The following is a 24,248-nucleotide window of genomic DNA, read 5'->3' as shown; positions in this document are numbered from 1 at the left end:
ATCCCCTATTCATAAAGTTAATAAACCAAAAAGATTTCAGCAGAACTTTTTTTTTTAACGAGGAATTGTTAACTAAGTTTTTCTTGAGAAGGAATTTAACATAAAATGGTAAACATTGCTGAATGTAAAAAATGAGAATGTCTTTAGATGTTTATAATCAATACCATATTCAGTATCTACTTATGGCAGTTATTAATACCATTGCAACTACATTATGAAATCCTACTAGGTACTTAGTAAACCACTAATAAAGCCAGATTTGAGCTGGTTCTCAGGCTCTGGTGAATAGTCTCTCATGACTTACATTCTCAATACAAAAGTGTACATAATCTGTTTTTATTTCTATTTTTTTTAAATTCCCACCTACTCAGGTCATATGAGAGGTTCCCTGCTTACCCTGCAGAGATTAGTTCAACTATTTCCCAATGATACTTCCTTAAAAAATGACCTTGGCGTGGGATACCTCTTGATAGGAGATAATGACAATGCAAAGAAAGTTTATGAAGAGGTAAGCATCAATCTTGTATTAACTACGTCAAATTAAGTTCTAAGGCTATTTGCAAATTACATTTATTATACCCAGTCTCTCTTTATTTTAAATTAAGTTAAAAAGCATGTAAGTATTATTATAGTTAACATATTCTAAACTATGTTTTAACATTGCTTTTCTTCCTAGATCAGAAGATTTTTAAATCTTAGTTAACACTTAGTACATTAAAGCCTTCAACTTATAATTGTGATTCTTTTAAAACTTCATATTTATCTTTCCATACATAGTCTTTCTAAAATTGTTCTTCATGACAGGAAGAAGAATTTAAGTTCCTGTGAATGTTACACACACACACACACACACACACACACAGACACACTTTCCTTTTTTTTTTTTTTTTTTTGGCAGAAGTATGGTCTAGAGAGAGGCTATATAGAACAGGGGCCTTTCAAGCATGTGACATAAATTACTTTTCAGCAGGGCACTGACTCTTCAAATCCTCTGGCAAGGATACCTTTCAAAGGATTTCTACTTTATAACAGATGTTGATAGATAACCTCTAAGTCACAAGTAACTAGAAAATCTAGAGAAATGTGACTTCTTTAGGCAGTGGAGGAATTCATTTGGTACAGAATGAACAGGATGCCCAATGAATTTTGAAGATGGAGAAAGTTAGCGCCTCTGTAAAAGAAAGATGAACATGTTTACTTGTTATTCTTTAATTTAGGCCCTTTGATCAATGGTTTTCAAGCTGGTGAAGTCTACATCAATATGCTACCACTCAGTGATAGTATGATTTCTGCTACAGTTTTGTTTTGCTTTTGTTTTTGTTTTTGACACGTGGTCTCACTCTGTTGCCCAGACTGGAGTGTAATGACATGATATAGCTCACCTCAACATCCATGTCCCGGACTCAAGCAATCCTCCTGCTTCAGCCTCTTAAGTAGCTGGGACTACAGGCACATGCCACCATGCCCAGCTAAATTTTAAAAAATTCTTTAGTGATGGTGAGGTCTTCCTATGATATCCAGGCTGGATTCAAATTCCTGGCCACAAGTGACCCTCCTGCCTCAGGCCTCCCAAATAGCTGGGATTACAGGCACAAGTCATCTCACCCTACTCCTTTTACAGTATTTTTTAAATGCCATCAAGAACAGCAGTTTCATACTCTGGTAGGGACTGGGTCTATCCTCAAAGCGGTACTTTCCTCTGTGTATTGCTATTATTGTGTAATGAAAATCATTGAATTGTGAAGCAGTTGTCTTTTTACCTTTCTCATAATTTTTATATTTTCTGAGAGAACAGAAATAAGACCTTTGCTTTTATAACATCACTAATAGCTACACAGGGTGGATTGAACCTTTAATGTTGACAATGTGTGCCATTTACTAAAGACCTATTCCAGGTCATAAATTAATTCCATGTGGAACATTGCATTTGTTAATGGCCAACACATAACACTCAATGCCCTGTCTTACAGAGTATGGTTAAGAGAAGCATCATATACCTCAGTGAATCAGGGTCTGTGAATGTAAGAATTGTGAAGCTATAACAAACATATCCATTAGTTTGTCACTGTCAGAGGCCACAAAAATGGAACTTGTAGAATTCCTAACTTCCTTCCTCCCTCCCTCCCTCCCTCCCTCCCTCCCTCCCTCCCTCTCTCCCTCCCTCCCTCCCTCCCTCTCTCCCTTCCTTCGTTCCTTCCTTCTTCCCTTCCTTCCCTTACTCCTCATTCCCTTCCTTCCTTGTAGAATTCTTCCCTATTTTCTTTCTTCTGTCCCTCTACCCCTCCCTCTCTCGCTTCCTACCTTCCTGCACCCTTTCCTCCTTCTTTCTTTCCATCTAAAAAACATTCTGAAGTGTTGACTGGGTGCAAGCACGTTTGAGGTTAGGGCAGGATCTGACAGCATACTGGTTTCTCTAATACACTGTGGATTTGTCCTTCCTCACCTTTTTAAAACCTCCCTTCAGGATATTCATCCCTTTACCTGACGCTAAATCTCAGATATGTGAAACATTTTACTTCATCCCGAAAAATAAAATTTACCTGTTGTTTATACATTTTATATCATAATCTCATCTGAATATGCATAATAGGATGCAGAAAGTCTAAAATATAAGGATATTATTCAATTGAATGAGTTTTTTTTTTAAAGCATGAATAGACTGAAAATATGTGTGGGGGTCGCCTTTTTTCCGGTCCTCTCACTTTTAAGTTAATAAGCTATTATCTAATGGAGTCTCTTTCATTAACCAAGGTTTTTCTTGATATGTTTATGTTAAAGATCATTTTTAGAAAACAGACATTGTAATTTTATATTTTTCTTCATGTTAATTTTTACTTTTGAGTACATTTATAAAAATCATTGATATTTTTATTTTTCCAGCTTTTTGCTGCTTTTAGTTGCAACAAAGAAACTGGCTTTAAAATGGTGTGACATCATTTGCTCCAGTCTGTGGCTTTTTGCGGCCCCTCCTGGGATTCTCTTGCAAGTTGGCAACATTAGCAGCTGCCCAGGTGTTACAGTGGGGAGTTTCATGCCACTCCTGACTCACCCGCCACTGCTCACGTATACCCATTCACTCAGCCAACACACATCTATTAAAACCCATACACACTAGCTAGAGAAACAGTAGTTCATGAAACACACGCAGAATGTGCCCACATGAAGTTTATAATCTGGTACCAAATCACGAATTTGTGTTCATTTTAACTTCTGATTAACTTTCAAATCCCTTCCCTTTGTAACCAAAGCACCCGTCATCTCTTGCCTGAGCAGGGACAGGTTTATCCTGTCCTAGCTTGCTCCCCCCCCCAACCCTCACCAACACTAAAACACAACCCTGATCATCTCCCTCGGCTTTAAATCTTCTGTGGTTCTCATTTCCTGCAGCAGTGGTCTTCAAACATGCTTGATGGCGGCCCTTCCAGACTAAAATGTTCAAGCAAATGCCTGAGATATGTTTATGTACTTATATGTTATGTGTACATGTATGTACCCACATAATATTATGTATATATATATGCACTAATATACATGTGCATTACAAAAGGTACATACCCCAAAACAATTTTTAAGATGATGTCAAATATAAAATTCTATTTAACTGCCAGAAAATCTTTTAACTCTTGCTGAAAAATTAATATTTATGATTTTATGATTATATAACTTTTTAAAATCCCAGGAATGTATCACGCAAAGAGTTTGTACTGGGGATAGAAATGTCGGCTGTATGAGGTTGTGGTTGTTTTTGTCTGTGCTTTGTGTTTGTGTATGGATGTGTGTGTTTTATAGAGAGAGAGAAAGAGAGAGACAATCTGTCTAATATTACATTTGGCCCTTGAACAACACAGGGGTTAGGGATGCTAACCTCCTGGGCAGTTGAAAATCCATGTGCACATTTTGACTCCCCAAAAACTTAACTACTGATAGTCTGCTGTTGACCAGAAGCCACCGGGTAGCATAAACAGTCGATTAACGCATATTTTGTATATGTACTATATGTTATATTCTTATAATGAAGTAAGCTAGAGAAAAGAACATGTTATTTTAAAAAGCATATAATTGGATTATTTGTAACACAAAGGATAAATGTCTGAGGGGCTGGATACCCCATCTTCCATGATGTAATTAGTATGCATAGTATGCCTGTATCAAAATATCTCATGTACCCCATAAATACATACACCTACTATGTACCTACAAAAATTAAAAAATTAGAAAAAGAAACTGTAAAAGCCATAAGGAAGAGAAAATATATTTGCTATTCATTAAGAGGAAGTGGATGATTAAAGTTTGCATCCTCACTGTTTTCACCTTAACTAGGCCGAGGAAGAGGAGGAGGATGAGGGGGAGTTGGTCTTGTCTCAGGGGCAGCAGAGGCGGAAGATAATCCATGCATTTCAAACCAATGTTGTTCAAAGGGCAACTGTAGCCTCAATCTGGGTTTTTTAGAAATCTCATAAAACCACTTGTCATTTTCTGAGGGTTTGTTGATTACAACTAGATAATACAACCTGCATGTCCATTACACATTCGCATATAAACTGCAGTGAGCATGGTACCCACGCACAAAGAAGCAAGCAGGGAGGGCAGCACTGTCAGCTGCCCTGGGGCCTGAGCCCTGAACCTCGCCTCCTGACAGTGTTTTTCCTGAATGGGACACATGGCTGTCCACCGTGCAGATCACAGTAGAGCCACAGAGCTTGTTTCACACTATTTGAGAGACAGATACAAGTAGAAGTGTATGTAATTTTTTTCTACTCCCCAGGAGATTACCTTGTACTTGATACTAAACAGGACCCTTTGTGATTTAATTTGACTTCTGCCTTTTCTCCAGTCTCTTCTGCTATCACCTTTTGTTCATAATTTAACAACATTCTCTTTTGCTTTTCCTGGCCCACTATCCCTTTCTACTCACTTTCTAATATACCTTGAATGCCTTTTCCTCCATCATCCCACACTTCCTTTTCCTGGTGAACTCCTATTTATCCCTAAATACCTTTCAGAGCTTGGCCCCACCCACACTCATCCTAGAGTGAGCCAGGTGCCCCTCTTATATAACCCCTGCATGCTTCGTGCCTATCTATAGCTACATTTACCATCTTGCATTGTCTACTTCTAAATTTGTCTACTTCTAAATCTGTCTCCCTCACTTGAGTGAGAGCCCCCTGAGAAAAGAGAGTATATCTCATTTATCTTTCTATGCCCAGGGCCTGGAAGAGTTCTGTGTGTTCTAAGATGTCTAGTAAATCAATAAATTTGTTAATTACTTGAGATAATGGCTGTGTGCCTGCAGTAGGCAGAAATGTCATCTGTGTAGCTGTAATAATTATGATAATCCCTCCATGGTTATGCTGGCAGAATCATCATCTGTGTCAATTTAGTTCAATGCCAGAGGTATTTATTGAGCTCCTGCTCAATGTCTAGCTTGGGAACAGTACTGTGGAAACTGCAGAGAAGCAGGATCTGGGCTTTCAGAGGTCTAGTTAGGGAGGAAAGCCCAGCATGTACTCATCTGAGCATTTAGTACAGGTTTCTCGGGCACCTGAATGCTATGCTATGCATAACAGGCAGTGGGGATGAGCAATGAGCAAAACAGACAAAATCCCTGTAGAGCTTGCATCTTAGTGGGAGAAATAAAAGTATACTAGGTCAGACGGTGATAAGTGCTATGAAGAAAAGTGAGACAAGGTAAAGAAGTTGGAGAGTGACTAGGGATGGAGGGGGTTCAGTTTTAGTAATGCGGGTAATGGTCAGGGGTAGGCTTCACGGAGGTAAGGGAGCTTGCTGTGGGGATGTCTGGCGGAAGAGTCTGAGCCAGAGGGATACTGTGAATGCAAAGACCCTGAGGCAGGGGTATCTTTGGCTTGCTGTGGAGCAGCAAGAAGTCCAACATGCCTCAGAGGCTTGGCTGGGAGGGGCAGGGGCAGGAGAGGAGGCCAGAGCAATGGAGAGGCCCAGCCAAGGGAGGCCTTGGGGGTGGTTCCAGGAACCCTATCTTGCACTCACTCTGAGTGCAATGCAGCAGAGGAGGGTTGAGATCTGACCTAGGATTTAGCAAGCGGAGAGTGGACTACACAGGGTCAGGGCCATGTGTGCAGAGGATCTGCAGTGAGGAGGCTCCTGTAAGAAGATATAGAGAGATGATGAGACACCTCTCTTGGGTCAGGGTAGCAGTGGTGAAGGAAGTGACACATGGTATGTTTCTGAATATATTTTGAAGGTAGTGTTGGCCAGATTTGCTAATCGATGAGGTTCAGGACAAGATGCAAGCTGAAAATGCTACAGCATCTGCAGTGTGTGTTGTGTGGGCCCCCCGAGGGCCTGGTGTCCCCTGCGTGTACACTTGATCCTTCTGTGTAACCCCATTGTAGTCCTACTGTGGCTGTGACTTCCCTTTTTCTACTCAGTCTCAAGGATGGAGAGAAGAGATGGGAGATGCATCTTTCCCTACATGCACATGCACCGACTCAAACCTTCTCCATCCTTCTCTTTTGTTCCATAAATTAGTTTGTCTAAGTAGCTTTTCAAGTTGAATGTTGTTGTTCTGGTTTCTCACTATTAATATTTAATTTAGAGGCACTTTGCATAATTTATCTTTAAATCATAATGAATGCATATAATAATAAACAGTGATGTGATTTATATGAAATATTTACCTGGGTTTTATCACAGAATATTGGATTTGCTCACCACTTTATCTTCAGGGCTTAAAATGGTCTGGGCACTCAAGAAGTTTTCTGTTGAATGAATGGATTGTGATGTATTACAAATGCAAATCTAAATTTTCTCTTAATTAAGGCAATGTATAAAGCTTGTATATGAAGTGATGTCTAATAACCATTCAGAATTGTCTTCAAGTATAGCAAATTTAAAGCCATTTTCCCTTGATCACTAAAAAATATTGAAGTCATATCAATTGAGAGATATTTTGCTGATTTGCATTGTTAAAGTGATGCTTTAACGGTTATTGCCTTTTCATTCATTTCTTCATTCTTGAAGAACCATTGTGTAAATGTGCAAAGCATATTGAGTTGAGAGGAAATGGAGCCATTTAAGCTTAATGATATTGCCATGAGACAAAGTACTATGGTGTTTTCAGCTGTAACATCATAATCCAATCCAAGTACAACAAAGCTAATTAAAACTGGTTTTGACAGTCATCTGTAGAATTTTCTAAGCAATCACCTATGTTTTCTTTGAGTTATGTTCTGTGTTTTCTTTGAGTTTAGGTGCTGAGTGTGACACCTAATGATGGCTTTGCTAAAGTCCATTATGGCTTCATCCTGAAGGCACAGAACAAAATTGCTGAGAGCATCCCATATTTAAAGGTAATGCTCACTGCTTCTCCTCTCCTTTCATCTTTCAAGTCCTTCGAGTTATTGGGACACACTTGCTTATTCCTTGTAGATTGATTGCATGCACTGCTGAGTATTTTCATCCTCAGGATGTCCACCCTCAGACCATGACATTCATAAGCAGCGTGGGCCTCCACTGTAACCAAAAGTGTCAGATGTCAGGATACCAACCACTTGAGCAGAGATGATTTGGAAAATATTTTATTTTAAAATTTATAAAACTGAAGTTGTTATTAGTTTTTAAATAAATGGCAAAGGCAGACAAAATTAGTGATACTTTAAATATTTTTAAATAAAGACAATAGGCCGGGTGTGGTGGCTCATGCCTGTAATCCCAGCACTTTGGGTGGCCAAGGTGGGTGGTCACCTGAGGTCAGGAGTTCGAGACCAGCCTGGCCAACATGGTGAATCCCTGTCTCTACTAAAAATACAAAAATGAGCCTGGTGTGGTGGTGTGCACCTGTAATCCCAGCTACTTGGGAGGCTGAAGCATGAGAATCACTTGAACCCAGGAGACGTTGGAGAAGTCTGGAGAACCCAGGAGAACCCTGGAGAAGTTGCACACCAGCCTGGGCAACAGAGTGAAACTGTGTCTCAAAAAATTAATAAATAAATAAATAAAATATATATATACACATATGTATTAAATATAGACAATGCATTATATGTTCCTTTTACAAGTTAATTATATATTTACTGTACTCAGAATAGTACTCTTAACTACCCACACAAAGTTAGGTAACAAATACTGGCTGAAAAGGTCATTGCTCAAAATATTCAAATTAAAATATGCCTTTTTTCTCATATCTAATTAAATCCTCATCAATTCAGCAGAATCACAGGTGGTGTAGACCAGGGCTTCCCAGTAGAATTTTCTGCTGTGGGCCAGGTGCAGTGGCTCCCACCTGTAAGCCCAACACTTTTGGAGACCAAGGTGGGAGAATCACTTGAGGATAAGAGTTTGAGACCAGCCTAGGCAACCTAGTGAGATTCCCATCTCTACAGAAAATTCTAAAAATCAACCAGATGTGGTGGCACATGCCTGTGGTCCCAGCTACTCAGGCCCAGGAGGTCGAGGCTGCATTGAGCTGTGAATGCATTACTGCCCTCCAGCGTGAGCGACAGACTGAGACCCTGTCTCTAAAAAATGTGTATAATATTAAAAAAACAAACAAACAAAAAAAACAGAGCAAGACCCAGTCTCTAAAAAAAAAGAATTTTCTACTGTGATGGAAATGTTTTTTATCTGTGTTCTCCAATATGATGGCCACTGGCCACATGTGGCCATTGAGCACCTGAAATGTGGCCACTGGGACTGAGGAAGTGAATTTTTCATTTTATTTTAATTTAGCAGTAATGTGTGGCTAGCAGCTACCATATTGGACATAGCTAATTAGATAGCTGTAGGCTTTTTTTTTAAGTATCAATATATTCCACTTTTATGATCTCTTTCTTTCACATGACTTAAATCAGAGATCCCAAATAGTAACCCACTGATTGCAAATAGCTTGCATGTTTTATTTGGCTGGCATGGTTCTATTAAAAACCATTTTAATTGCTTGCCTTATTTGAGAATCTGAGCATTTTTATATAATTATGCAGACTTCTAGTTTCTCTTGAAACGTCATATCTGGCTCACTTCCCTGCACACAGACAAGCAGTGATCCCCCCTTGGGATGGGGCTGTCCCTGGACCCCTGTCAAGCACTTCATATTTCCTGCCAGGGCCCTGTGGGCATGTGGGTTTCTGTGATTTAAAGTGTCTCCTTACATTTCCTTTGACATAGGATGGCTTACTGGTACTCTGCCTGCTTCAGAGATAGGGAAAGCAAGAGCTGGCCTGGTCAGTTATCAAGCAAGGACACTTGAGTGTTGGTCAATTAGAAGCCCTCGCCACAGCTCCCTTCCTCTCCTGAGTGATGATGCCTTTCCCATTCTATCGTGCAGCTTGCTCATTTCCAACATTATGTAAATACAATTTCTTCCTAGTGAAAGATAATAGGCTTCTTGTGAAGAGGCCTCAAGGATGCAGATTTTTAGAAAGAAGTCCTTGACATTTACATATTTTTAACTTTTGTCCTTCTGCTTTTCTAAACGCATTCTGTTGCTTTAATATTTTCTCTTTTCTCTTTGTGGGGACGGGAATGGGGTTCATCAATCTCAATTTCAGTCCTTGTGTGAGAAATCAGAGAATTAGGTAAATGTTTTAGAATAGGGATTTGTTTAATAAAAATTACATTTTTAAAGATTCAAATTGGCTTTAATTCTCCTGTATGTTTTGTAAAAAAAAAAAAAATCATTAAAAGGTAAGGACACATTTGTTTTGAATGGAAAGAAATAATGCTCGCAGTTGGACTGCCATCACTTCAAACATGAGCAGTTAAACATTTTGGTTTAGGAATAAAAAGCCTCTAGATGACATATGGTCAGATTTGGAGAGCAAAATAAATGTAAGAGCTATCCAGCCAGAGAAATTCTTCAAAATATTGAAATATGATTGTTCCCACACAGAAGGTACACAAAGTATCATACTAATTTTGTGGGCCATTCCACAGTGAATTAATGATGAATGCATTGTTAAATTTAGCTTTATGACCTCCTTTTGTTTTGGCATTGCAAATGTTGACCAGTAACCTCATTCCCAAAGTTTAATATGGAGATATATTTTTCTGGTTTTTAGGTTTTCATACGATGTGCCATAAGAAAAGCTATGTAAATCAATTAATGGAATCTGGTATTTAATTATTTTACCCATACTAACACTGTCCTTTCTACAGGAAGGAATAGAATCCGGAGATCCTGGCACTGATGATGGGAGATTTTATTTCCACCTGGGGGATGCCATGCAGAGGGTTGGGAACAAAGAGGTAATGGGTATATGAATTTCTGATTCTCTCTAACAGAGGATGGAGTTGGGAGAATAATTATTTCTAGGAAAGTTAGAATTCAAAAAATATTTTGAGTGTGAACTTTCGAAAGCAGTGATATAAACTATTTAGTTACTTAAACTATCTTTGGAACAACCCAACAACTCCAGCTTAACCCTTTAAAGAATTTTTGGGATTTGGCTTTTATAGTTTCTTTCAAGAAATCAGCTAAGTAATCACAAAAGCAATCTCTAAGTTGGTACATGTCTGTGTATGTTTTTGTCTGTGTGTATCTGTGTGTGTGTGTCTGTGTGTGTACAGAGAGATAGAAATTGCCTTGGAAAAGTATTTTTTAAATTTTGAAATGAAGAGATGTCACTGAAATAATTTAAATTTTTAGAAATATTTTAACAGTTTGACTAGATTCATTTTTGTTTTATTTTGGACTTTTAAAAGTAGTTCTTTTTAGAATGAAGTCTTTATCAGCTGATTCCTAATCACACAGATCCTAATGGTTAGTTGTGTAACTTATCCTCTGAAATATTTAATACCAAGTTTAAGACGAACATTGTGGTGATAGTAATGATAGGGATTGACACAAAAAATGTAGTAGCTAAAAAAGTTCCATGTTTCCTTTGTAATGGTTACCTTTTTCTGAGTACAGTGTCTGCTTCTATAACCATAACATTGTCTCATTAATCATGACATCGCATGCTATAAATTTCAAAACTCTGTCACAGTCTACCATGATTTACGATTTATGCAGCCCTGCTGGATGGCAAAGCCCTCCTTTCCTGTCCTGCTTTATTGCAGGGGTGAGAGCTGGGCTCTCCTTAGAGTCAGTGGATAAAAGGGTAAAGTGAGACACTGAATCTTTGTAACCATTGCATCCCATGTATGTAATAAAGTGACATCTAAGGATAATACAGCTTCAGGTTTCTAAAATTAGTAAGAACATGGAATCATCTGGGGAATTGAGGGTTCAGAGAAGTGAAGGGGTTTGTGATAACGTAATTGTCTGCTAGGAACATGAACCAATCTGGAGGTACTAGAGGTTCAGATAATTGACAATTTTTGATTTATACATGTCTATTTATCTGTACCTTTCCCCCTCTAACCTACCAGTCAACTGAAATGGAATGAGATATTAGAATTAAAGAGAAAGATGGGAGAAGAAATTGCTGATTAGTAGTCCTTTTTGCATCGCATTTTTCTTTTAGATGTAATCACTCAGAACTCCTTTGAATGAGAGGGATAAGAAAGATTTTGCTACAACATCTAACACTGGATAAATGTTCATGTCTGACTACTGTAAATGTAATCATCACTAATTAATTTATCTTTGAACATTTCAGAGTCCAGGGCAAAGACAGATGAAAGAAGCCTATGATTTATCTCACATCTTAGATGAAAACAGCCGTTACTTCAAGGGCAAAAAGTTCATTACTATACACTTGTTAAGGGCTTGGGATTTGAACGTATGGGACTGTTCTACCAACTTAATTATCATGAATATGCAAAGAACAGCACAGTTCTTGAATTTAAAAAGTTCAGAAGGATTCGTTCTTACAGGAGAACAGAAACAAACCTGTAGAAACTCCATGTTAGTATATTCCCAGCATTAGGTGTTGAGTCTGACTTGGCTGTCGTGCTCTGAGTTTGCATGTCAGGAAGTAAACACCTTTCACGTTTTTATGCCTAGAGCACTGCTCCAACTCTGAAAGAGGATGGATCTGCAAAAAGCAAAGCCACAGCCTCTGTGCTGCAGAGACTGACAAGAAAATGGGTTGTGAGGAAAATTTTTCTAAGTGGTCCGTTTAGTATGGGCAGGAAGACGGGGGACAAACCATGAGGGTCTGCAGCAATTCAGATAGCAGTTCTCGGTATTCCCATAACTTCCAAATCCACGTTCTAGCTAGATTTAGTCTCCTTCTCCAAGTCCCCATTCTCATGTCTACTGCCAGCTCAGTGTCCCACACGATGGCACAGAGACAACTTACTTGTCTTTCTCTAAACCGTTTTTCCTCCTAGGTTCCTTCTCTCATTCAATGATATTCCCGTCTTCCCAGGATCAAGATTTGAGTGAGCTTGAGCTCCTCCCTCTCCTCCTTACTCCAGTCTAGTCAGGGCCAGCTATGGAGATCTGGTTTTCTCATGTTTTTGGCATCCCCCTCACCCTCCCTCTTGCTCAGTCAGTGCTAACTCCTGTCTTTGTCAACTGCGTCCTCAATGATAGCTGTGAGAACCTGGATGTTGTTTCTTGCTTGGTCTCAGTTTATTTCAAGCCACCCTATGCTCAAAAAGCCTACCATGCAAAATAACATAACATTCTGTTTGCACGCGATAGCATTTACAATCCTTAGGCAAGTTGCAGCCAGCTCTTCTCACCAGAAGTGTGTCTCTCAGGCCTCACTGGACAGTGGGCTCCAGGCAGAACATACCCCAGCTGGGGCCACTTATGACAGCCCATTCCACAGATGTGGCCTGGGCTTTTCTGGGATCCAGTCATCTGACATACTTTCTGTCTCTGTCTCTCTCTCTCTCTCTCTCTCTTTCTCTTATGTGTGTGTGTGTGTGTGTGTGTGTGTATGTACATGTGCATAAAAACCATACATAGCAACGATTGGAAGAAAGTAGAGACAACATTGATATAAAATATATTTAACTTCTTAAATGTGGCCCAGGGGCTCTTACTGCCCCTGTGTCCCAGGGCCTCCTACTGTCTATTTTAATATTCCTAATTGCTGATTAGACAGGAAAATTGCTGATCAGACAGGAAATAGTAGAGAAATTTTCAGGGGATTCTAACTTGATCTTTGATTTTATAGCAATTTTTTATTGTAAAGTAGTTTAGGTTTTTTTTAAAAAGCACTCTAGCTGAATTCATTGGGTCCCCTGTGTCACATATTATTAAAGGTGATTTTTAAAAATTTCTGATATATCACTTTCACAATTTTGTTTCTCCTAAAATTTATATGACAGGAGAGTGAAAAATTGAGTCCTACTTGATGCAGGATTACTTACTTTGAGTGTCAGAAAAGACCTTATAGATAGTTTAAACATGCTGTTGTAACTTGCCCAGACATCTAGCATGTCGAGGGCTAATTAAAGGCCGGAACTAAAATCTAAGGCTTCCAACTCTTGAACTACAGCTATAATGTTTGCTGTTTTTATTTTTCTACAATAACTTCTTTTCTCACTATTCTAGCAATACACTTTATCCTTAAAATGAATTGTGATGACTCAAAAATGGACTGTCAGATTTTTGAAAAAACAATCTGTTGTCCTTAGTATTATTGTTCACTTTTGCCCTGAAAAGCATAGGAAGTAAAATCCTAAATTTTAGTTGGACAAAAATAACCACAATAGTCAAATTAATTTCAGAGATATATGCTATTTTTTAAAAAAATTAGATAACAATTAGCCATTTTAACTTTCTAGTTTTTAAAGGAATTCTGGCTACAACTTACATGTATTGTAAGGAAAATATTTAAGAATGATTTGTATATGCATTCTTAGTTTCAGATATTAATAAAAAAGATAACTAAATAAGAAAATCATTTTTCATAGTGTTTGCTAAATGATATAAATAGGAGGAGAGTAGAATAAGTTGCCAGGAGCCCCAAATGCTAGTTCAGAAGATTTAGCCTTTATAAACCTTAGTTTCAACATTTGTAAAATGGAGATATTTGGGGTTATTGGAAAAATCAAATGAGATAACACATTCAAAGAAAGTAGTCAATGTAAAGTGTTACTGAAAATATGAGGTGATATTGCTATCCCCCTTCAGTCTCCTAATGAGGGAAAATTTGAAAAGTTAACATTTTTTACATCTAAAGTGTATCTGGTGATTTACAAAGAAGATATTCAAGTTACTATGAAATGCTTATTTTTATTTATCAAAAATACATTTGAATTATCTCTGTAAAAGTAATCATTAGATCAGGTTTGCAGTAGTGGAGGGGATAATATTAAGTGTACCATTAGAAAGCCTTCCATTCAAAAGACAATGGAACATGCATGGTGCAGGAAGTGGGCAGGGCTCCTTGGAGAGCATATGGTGAGGGCATCATTTAAAGGAGCCATAAAGAGCGTCATGCTCCGTAGCCAGCTGTCCCTGAAAAGGCTAGTCTTGGAGGCAAGTAGTATCATGTTGCAGCTAGCCTAAAGCCACACATGTTATCCCTTATGGCAGAAAAAAATATATATTATGAACAAAAATTCCTTCTTTAAAAATCTAAAATGGGCTATCACTGTATTTATTGCCCACTCAGAATAATTTTTCCCTTCTGTCTACTTAATTTAATGGAGGGTTTGCACTCTGACGCCTTGGTGTGACCTTCTTAAATGTGGACATGGAAAGTACATGTGAAAAGAAGCTGCTTTTATTTTAGCATTCTGATTCAGTAAATGCAAATATCTTTGAAGAAATTATTAAAATCATAATCTTTTTCTAATGGAAATAGAAAATAGAAAAGGCCCTTTGGTGTCTTATTTATTCATTCAAAAAATAAGTGCTCGACTCCCTGCTGGACACTCGAGGGAGACCAAAATGTGTAGGGCATGAATCCACTATCCAGAGAGACTGCAGCCTAAGGGGGAAAAGAAAATGTACATGTTCATTATACAAATAGGTCATAATCAGAAACCCAGTGAAATAACAATATTTTCACCAGATTTCAACAGATTTGAGTACCTAGCAGTAAGCTCTTTATTTAAATGTGTCAAAGTAATACCTTATTTTTAATGTTTTCAATTTTAAAATTAATAAAAATGCTCTGTTGAAGGAACAGTTTGGAGCACATTCTTTCTGTTCCTTCAGGCATATAAGTGGTATGAGCTTGGGCACAAGAGAGGACACTTTGCATCTGTCTGGCAACGCTCACTCTACAATGTGAATGGACTGAAAGCACAGCCTTGGTGGACCCCAAAAGAAACGGGCTACACAGAGTTAGTAAAGGTAAGTATAACTTAGACATCATCCTCACCAGATCTTTGTCTATTTCCTCCTCAAAATCAGAAAATGTTTATCATAAAAAGGAATGTCAGGGAAGAGATAGATTTTATTTCTAGTGACATTTGCAAAATATAATGGAAAAAGAATTGTCATCTCATTAACCAAAAGTTTCATTTAGATGATGAAGGGAATTTGTGCGGAACTTAGGAGTTCTCAACCTTTTTGGCCTTAGGACCCTCTTATACTCTTAAAAATTATTGACTACCCCAAGGAATGTGGCTTACATCTACCAATATAATCATTAGACATTAAAAGTGAAAGAAAATTATATATATATTTATGAATTATTTAAAAATAATAACCTCATAACATGTCAGTATAAATAACTTTTTAAAAAAATTATATTTTCAAAACAGAAAATGTAGTGAGAAGATTGGAATTGTTTTGTATTTTTACAAATCTTTTTAGAGTCTGGATTAATAGACAACAGGAGAATCCTCACATGTGCTTCACACATGTACCTGTTAGAGCTGTGATGTCCTACCTCATGTAGCTTCTGGAAAACTCTACTGTGTGCCCAGAAAAGAATGAAAAGAGCACATAATATCTTTGTATTATTAAGAAAGTAGTTTTGATCTTGCAGAGCCCCTAAAAGGGTCTAGAGAACTCTCAGATGTCCTTGAAACACACTTTGAGAACCACTGGCCCTGCAACTATGGAGAGAAAACGCAGTTATAAATATTGTTAGAAAATGCTGTGGCAGAAAATGTTGTAGCATTTGGAGAAACTAAGTGATTCTAAATAGCTATAAAAATAATTGGAAGGTTTTATATTAGTAGGTTAAACCTGAACTTTAACGGTCTCTACTTGGTGACTTTGGTAGGGACTGGTCAGAAGTTTACTTTTGCTTTGGTAAGCCCCCTCTTCTTAGACAGTCATAAAATGAGACTCACAGTTAATTAACTCATAGTTCCAATCATGTTGTTTTCTACTCAAAATGTAAAAACTTCATGTATCTTACAGGTTAGATGGCTTCAGGGTTTTGACCTCAGACTCTAATTGCTATTTGTACATGGTTTATATAAGAAAATATATTCTGATGTTCAAACAATTGATTTTACATGTGCAAGAAGCAGGGATGAAGAGGAAGAGTGACAAAATATTGATAATGTTAGAATCTGGCTGATGGATATGTGGAGGTTTGTCATACTGTTCTTTCTTCCTTTAGGTATATGTTGAAATTTTTCATAATTTTTCTTTTAAGTAACATCTAAAATAAACTGTATCTATAAGACTTACAAGACTTCACTGATTAATTTGGTCTACTTGGGGAAAAGAGGTTTTCATGTACTTAGATTATGTCTTACTTGACTGTGTTTATTCTGTATGTCATTATAAAAGCATACTTTATAATCTTCATAATCCAATTGTAAAATAGGCTGCCATTGGTTAGCCTTTGAATATTTTATAGCTCAGGGAACCATGGCATGGTGACAATTAATACAGATTGATTTTTTAAAGTTCCATATCCAGATTAGAAATAGCACAAGAACAACATCTTCCTTGATAGGTCGGCTACATTTAGCACTGTCGGGTTTTTTTGTTTTGTTTTGTTTTTGTCAAATTTCACCCTCCCTCAGATTGGATCCCATCGAACTCTTCTGATTCTGCTTTACTATCTTTTATTCATGATCTCTTTGTGAGTTCATTTCTCTACTGTACCTTTTGGGATCCTTTCAAATTCAAAACACGGAAATGCAATTCAAACCTGGCTTAAACAACAAGAAATGTTACTGATTGACATAGCTGGAAGCCTAGCAGTAGGGCAGACTTCGGGGCAGTATAATCAAGGGAAGATGTTCTTGGCTCTGCACTTCCTCCTTGGTCAGCTTTGTCCTTGTGCTGGCTGACTGCAGGATGGCTGCCAGCAGCCACTGGAAGAGAGGGGGAGAGAGTGACATTGCTGAGCTACCACCCCAGCCGTAAATGGCCTTCTGGAAACCTCCTGGCAGACCCTCTTCTATTGGTGGGAACCATGTCTCATGGGCACTCACAGTTACAAGGGAGTCTGAAACACCAGATGGCTGGCAACAGTCTGAGGCAGCCAGCTTCCAGGAGGAGAGAGGGTGTACCTCTCTATCATCTAAGGACCAGTAATCTTTCCTTTCAGTCTTATTGAGCCAATTTAAGTCAGATTTCCACTCTAGATGAATTACTGGCAGGGGGATATGAGATTATTCTTAAACCAACAGATCAAACCCTACAGCCAGAAAAGGATTAGTTTCCTCTAAATCAAATAAATGGTTTATCTGGAGGAAGGTGGACGCTCAAAGTCAGACTTTTGTTAAGAAGAAAGAAGCATGATTGATTGTGTGAAGGCAGTCTACTATGGGCTGACATGGACCCAAACATTGTTCTTTGCTTTCTTTTCTCTTTTTCTTGCCATTCATTTTCTAAGAAATCTTCTCCACTGTGGTTTAACTGCTGTGAAAATTCTACCAAAGCTATGTTCCCCAAATGGACTTCTCACTCTTTCTATTCTATGTTCAGCTCTATTAAAACATTAACATTCGGTGTGAACATTAACTCACCACGTAACCCCTTGGTTAATATCGTTTTCCAGCTTTCCAGTTTTGGTCAGTGTCTTAGTAGTCCATTTAAGCTGCTGTAACAAAATGCCATAAACTCGGTGGCTTATAAACAATAGAAATTTACTTTGAGGAAGTCCAAGACTAAGGTGTTAGCAGATTCAGTGTCTGGTGAAGGCCTGCTTCCTGGTTTGTAGATGGTGCTTTCTTGTTGTGTCTTCACATGATGGAAAAGAGAAGGCAGCTCTCTGAGGCTTTTTTTATAAGGACAATAATCTTACTTGCCTAAATCACCTCCCAAAGGCCCCACTTCCTAACACCATCACATTAGTGATTAGATTTCAACATATGAATTTGGGGGACACAAACGTTCAGACCACAGCAGTCAGTGATTCAGCTTTAGTCTGCCTTTATCTCTTACCACTGCCCTTTACCATCCTCATTCCAGACAAAATTCTTCCAACAGACCTTCCCATACGGTAGCCCTCTTTCCTGGAGGACTCTTTCTTTACCTCTTTCTGTTTTCCTTCTCTCATATATCCTTCACAGCCAATTCCTTTTTATCCTTCAGATGTTAGAGAAATTGTCACTTCTTCTAGGAATATCAGTCCTTTGCATAAAGCCAAAAGCCCTTTATACTTTCTTTTTAAATAGCACACTATATTCTAAAGTCTCTTAGTTCTCTGAGATTGTGTCTTCTAAGATGACAGGGACCATGTCTCTAATACATGATGGGTTCTCAAAAATTAGGTTCATTGTATGACCTTCTATAAACTTTCTTTTCTCTAGTTTTTTCATAAATATGTTAGAAGCTCCAGGGATTTAAAAATGTTACTACTGAGCATTTCTTACATATAAGAAGTTGCAACAGTTGGTATCCTTGGTTTTTCCTGAATGTGAGGAAAATTCTCCCTTACTGCACTGCACCAGGAGAGGAAGGCCTAGAGAGAAAGAAAATTATCTCTACCTGCTATTTTAGGAGCAAGGGACAAAGGTATTCATTTTCTTGAAATTGTTACTGCTTAAGAAAGAAGGATATTTAGAATGTTCTCAGTTCCTGATGAAACCTCAAGCATTTAATTGCTTATAAAACATTGTGTAATGAGGCAGAACATCAGAATGGCAGAGGGAATGTCTTCATAAATCTACCCCTCCACAAAAGCACTGAGAAAAATTGTTAAAATCAACTTCTTTAGAACTCTGTACATTAGCAAAGACATACAACAATTAGAGGAATATTTATTGAAGGAAAAAGTGCTGAACCTGAATAAGAATAGCAGGGTTTGTGGGGTGGTAATTTTAACTGCTCCCAACCATTCTTCCCCAGTTCCAGGGTAGCCTTGAAAACTGGCAATCTCAAAACACTAGAGCAGTGAAAACCATAGCTTTCCAGGCACTAGTGGGGCCACATCACATTTTTAGTACCTCACAAATTTCCATACCCAGAGCATTGTCACCATTTTAAACCTCTCTCTTTCTACCTGGAAAGCTGCATTCTCAGGACATTGTTGTTATTTGTCCTCACTTGCAAGAAAAGCTCTATTCCCAGGCTATTAGTCAAAACAATTATTGGCAGGTATTTTTTTTAACATTACAAGTGCCCAGAGCAACTACAGGTAAGGCTACAGGCAATAGAGATTTCACAAAATTAATCCAGAAAGTCAGTAAACAAACAAATAGTGACAACGATAACAAAAATGAACAACAACGAATTTTATGAGAGGGACCGAACTGATTTCCAGAATTGCCACATTGTATTATCTAAAAACTGTCCAGTTTCAACAAAAATTATATGACACACAAAGAAATAGGAAAGTATATACATGCACAGAAAAGCATGCAGTCAATAGAAACTGCCTGTGAGGGGCCCTGATGCTGAACTTACTAAACAAAGGCTTCAAGTCAGCTATCGTCAGTATGTTTTAATAACTAAAGAAAACTATGTCTAAAGACTTAAAAGAAATTATTACAATGACGTCTCCCCAAATAGAGAATTCCAATGAAGAGACAGAAATTATAAAAAAGAACTAAACAGATAATCTGGAGTCATAAAGTACAATATCTTAAGTTAAAAAACTCACTAGGGGGGCTCAACACCAGATTTAAGCTGGTAAAAGAAATAATCAACAAATTTGGAAATAGGTTCTTTAAGATTATCCATGCTAAGGAACAGAAGAAAAAGAGAATGAAGAAAACAACCTATGGAGCACGATCAAGTGTACCAGCATATGCATAATGGAATCCTCAGGGGAAGAAAGAGAGGTGGCAGAAGGACTGTTTGAAAAAATAATGGCCAGAAATCCTCCAGATTAGATAAAAAGCATTAATCTACACATCTGAGAAGCTCAATGAATTATAAGGAGGATAAACTCAGAAACATACCTAGACACATCACAGTCAAATTGCCAAATTTAAAATTTATTTTCACTTTCATTTTATTTTTTCAAATTCTAATCTCAAATTGACAATCAAATAAAATGAGATTCTTGAAAGCACACAGAGAAAGAGGACTTATTGCACAAAAGGAACCTTCCTTTTAAGATGAACAGCCAACTTGTCATCAGAAACCATAGAGGAGAGAAGGCAATGAATGACATTCAAATACTGAAAGGAAAAGACTGCCAACCAAGAATTCTATATCTAGCAAAATTAAGACATTTCCAGATATATAAAAACTGGGAGAAGTTAATGCTAGCCAATATTTCTTGCTCTACAATAGATATTAAAGGCAGTTCTTTAGATTGACATAAAAAGATACCAGATGGTAATACAAATCCACATGAAGAAAAAAAAAGAGCATCACTAAAGATAGTGGGTAAACATAAAAGGGATAATATATGTGTTTTTATTAGTTTTTTCTTCTATCTTATTCCAAAACCAATGCATAAAGCAATAAATGTAATATGTATTGTTTGTGGACTTATAGCATAGAAAGATGTAATTTGTATGATAATAGTGCAAAGGAGGAAGGGGAAAAGATTTATGTTGGAGCAAAATTTCTGTATGCCCTTGAAATTATGTTAGCAATAAATTGAAATTGATTGTTTTAATTAAAGGTATTAATTCTAGTGCCCAGGGCAACCACTAAGAAAATAACTCAAAAAAGTAGGGTAAAATTAACAACAAGGTAATTAAATGGCACACTAGTAAATATCTATCTGTTGTAAAGGAAGGCAGTAATGGAGGAACAGAGGAACAACAACAGCAACAAAAAGGACATTAAAAATGAATAACAAGATGGCAGACTTTATCAGCAATTACATTAAATGTAAGGACATGAAATACTGCAATCAAAAAGTACAGATTAACAAAATAGATTTTTAAAAAGTGATCCAATTCAGGTCCACATGAAACATTAACCAGGAAAGACTATACACTAGGCCATAAAACAAGCCCCAACAAATTTAGAAGCACTGAAATCATACAAAGCATGTTTACTGACCACAAAGGAATGAAATTAGGAACCATCAACTAAAAGCTCTCCTTGTCCTCAAAATCTGTTTGCTTGCCAGTACCCCACTACTGCTGTCAAAGTTACTGACTTCTGCTTATATATCTTGTGTCCTTTTCCTTTTTGATATCAAGTATTTTATTAAAATTCTTATTTCCTTGGGCTTTTTTCTTTCAGCCCTGCCTGTCTTAAACTCTGCTTTATTTAAGAAGAAAAGCAAGATCAGAGTGTGAATCATAGAATTCTCAGTGCATGGAATCTCAGTGTGTGTGGCATCTCATGGTTACAACTCCATGCTGTGTGATTGTACTTTGAGAACTATATTTGCAGGAATGTTAATTTATGACTTAAAAAAAAAGTAACGTCAGGATGACCACTTGACAGTAGTGACTGTGACATTAAGAGAGCTGCTGTGTGCAGAAACCCAGAGTTCATTGACCGTTTAGTTGACAGACCCTGGAACATCAAGATATTCTTCTATTGTAATTTTCAAATTACAGAATTGAATATTATGAGTCATGGAACATCACCCAAGTATTGACGTCTTAAAGTGGAAACCCTCTAGATTTAGTAGCTGCAACATTTGGCCAAAATACTTTTAGAATAATTACCCAGATTTTGGCCCTTGAGTGACTTTTAACTACCATGAATAGGGCATTTCCCTTTTTTTTTAGACGGAGTCTCACTCTGTTGCCCAGGCTGGAGTGCAGTGGCGCAATCTCAGCTCGCTGCAAGCTCCGCCTCGCGGGTTCACGCTATTCTCCTGCCTTAGCCTCCCAAGTAGCTGGGACTACAGGTGCCCACCACCATGCCCGGCTAATTTTTTTTTTAATATGAATTATATCTTTACTCTTATAAAAGTCATGTTGAATAAATAAATTCTATCTTTTAAAATACAAAACCATTATATTGCCTTAACTCTAATTTTTTGTATTTTTTAGTAGAGACGGGGTTTCCCCTTGTTAACCAGGATGGTCTCGATCTCCTGACCTCGTGATCCGCCCACCTCGGCCTTCCAAAGTGCTGGGATTACAGGTGTGAGCCACCGTGCCCGGCCTCTCATTTCCCTTTCTTAATTTTTTTTTCAATTCTTATTTTTAAAATTATAAAGATGGCGTTTCACCATGATGCCCAGGCTGGTTTAGAACTCCTGAGCTCAAGCGATCCACCCACCTCCGCCTCCTAAAGTGCTAGGATTACAGGCATGAACCACTGCGCCTGGCCTGATAGCACATTTTCATTCAACTTACTTCTTGCTCTACATTACAGTGAGAGATAGAGTGCAGTTTTCCTGAAGGCAGGGGACAGTGCTCAGTAAAATGCATCATATGTGTTTTCCCCTTTGGTTGAATTTCTGTATGCCCTTGAAATTATGTTAGCATTAAACTGAAATAGTCCATTCTTGCATCGCTATAAAGAAATACCTGAGACTGGTATTAGTCCATTCTTGCATTGCTATAAAGAAATACCTGAGACTGGGTAGTTTATAAAGAAAAAAGGTTTAATTGGCTCACGGTTCTGCAGGCTGTATAGGAAGCATGGTGGCATCTGCTTCTAGGGAGGCCACAGGAAGCTTTCAATCACAGGACGCTTACATGGCAGCATGAACAGGAGCAAGAGAGCTGGGGCAGGTGAGGTGTTACATACATGTAAACGACCAGATCTCCAAGAACTCATTCACTATCACGAGGACAGTACCAAGAGCGATGGTACTGAACCGTTGATGAGAAATCACCCCCATGGTCCAATCTCCTCCCACCAGGCCCCACCTCTAACACTGAGGATTACAATTAACATGAGATTATGAGATTTGGATGGGGACATACATCCAAACAATATCACCCCTCATTGTGTAAATATAATTTGGCAGCTCTAGCACTAGGAGTGTGGAGAGGCTATTCAACTCAAGGAAAACATTAGTGAAAAATATTCCAGTAGAGTTTTCTCTTTTCAGCTTATTTTCCTTAAAATTGAGTAGGTTGTTGCCCAAATCACAACTATCAAAGCACCAAGTGCCTTGGGCTTATTTAACATAGAAATTGAAACAAAAATGGATTAAAATCTTTGCTAGGGTAAAAATAGAAAAGATGTCCTATAGTTAGAGAAAAGCCATTAAAGCTTAAGAGTTTTGCTCTTCCCTTTTCGGGATTAACTATTTGATCCACACTAATTTAGATGTAAACACACATTCATAGAAAACACTATAGTAACATTGAAAATAAACAACCAATAGCAACTCAAAACTGTTAGAGTAGGTAGCTCGTCAGGCATAAGCAGCGCAGGAGAGGGACAGACACACACACACACACACACACACACACACACACACACACACCCCAGAAGTGTTAGGTGACCATCACATGATGGTCAGGCGGTTGTTAACTTTTCTCTAAAGTAATAATTGGTCACAGCCGGCACCAGGGAAAGGCAGTCTCCTAATAGATAGAAAACACCTGAAACTGATCAGCAGCTTCCCAGTAAGGTCTCAGGAGTGGGGAGAAGTAACGCAAGATCCTGGAAGTATAACCCCAAGCCGAGAGGTCAAGCAGGGCATTTGATCTCTCAGCCTGCTTGGCCCTCATCCAGGTGTGCTTTCCTTCCTTCCTTTCTTTACTGTTCTAAAGCTTTTTAACAAACTTTCACTCCTGCTCTAAAATTTGCCTCGGTCTCTCCTGCTTTATGCCCCTCAGTCGAATTCATCCTTCTGAGGAGGAAAGAATTGAGGTTGCTGCAGACCCATACAGAAAACTACCGCTGATAACAAAAACTATAATTTTAAATATATATATATTTTGAGATGGAGTCTCACTCTGTCGCCCAGTCTGGGGTGCAGTGGAGTGATCTTGGTTCACTGCAACCTCCGCCCTCCGGGTTCAAGCGATTCTCATGCCTCTACCTCCCAAGTGGCTGGGATTACAGGCGCCTGCCACCACGCCTGGCTAATTTTTGTATTTTTAGTAGAGACGGGTTTCACCATGTTGGCCAAGCTGGTCTCAAACTCCGGACCTCAGGTGATCCGTCTACCTTGGCC

At 38.2% G+C, this 24,248-nt stretch overlaps 1 protein-coding gene across 72 annotated transcripts in view; it reads left to right on the top strand.

The window, feature by feature from the left end:
- Positions 1-24,248, top strand: part of ASPH (aspartate beta-hydroxylase) — a 214,037-nt gene that overhangs the window by 151,341 nt on the left and 38,448 nt on the right. For 71 of the 72 annotated variants that reach the window (NM_001413901.1, NM_001413909.1, NM_001413895.1 and 68 more), the window contains 4 exons: positions 372-508; positions 7,230-7,328; positions 10,132-10,221; positions 15,044-15,181. In NM_001413901.1, coding sequence (NP_001400830.1) covers positions 372-508; positions 7,230-7,328; positions 10,132-10,221; positions 15,044-15,181 — 464 coding nt within the window. The remainder of the gene's footprint in view (positions 1-371; positions 509-7,229; positions 7,329-10,131; positions 10,222-15,043; positions 15,182-24,248) is intronic. The other variant, NM_001413899.1, reaches the window with a different exon arrangement.

The sequence above is a fragment of the Homo sapiens genome, chromosome 8, assembly GCF_000001405.40.
Source record: "Homo sapiens chromosome 8, GRCh38.p14 Primary Assembly".
Taxonomy (NCBI): domain Eukaryota; kingdom Metazoa; phylum Chordata; class Mammalia; order Primates; family Hominidae; genus Homo; species Homo sapiens.
This window is presented reverse-complemented; position numbering and strand designations above follow the sequence as displayed.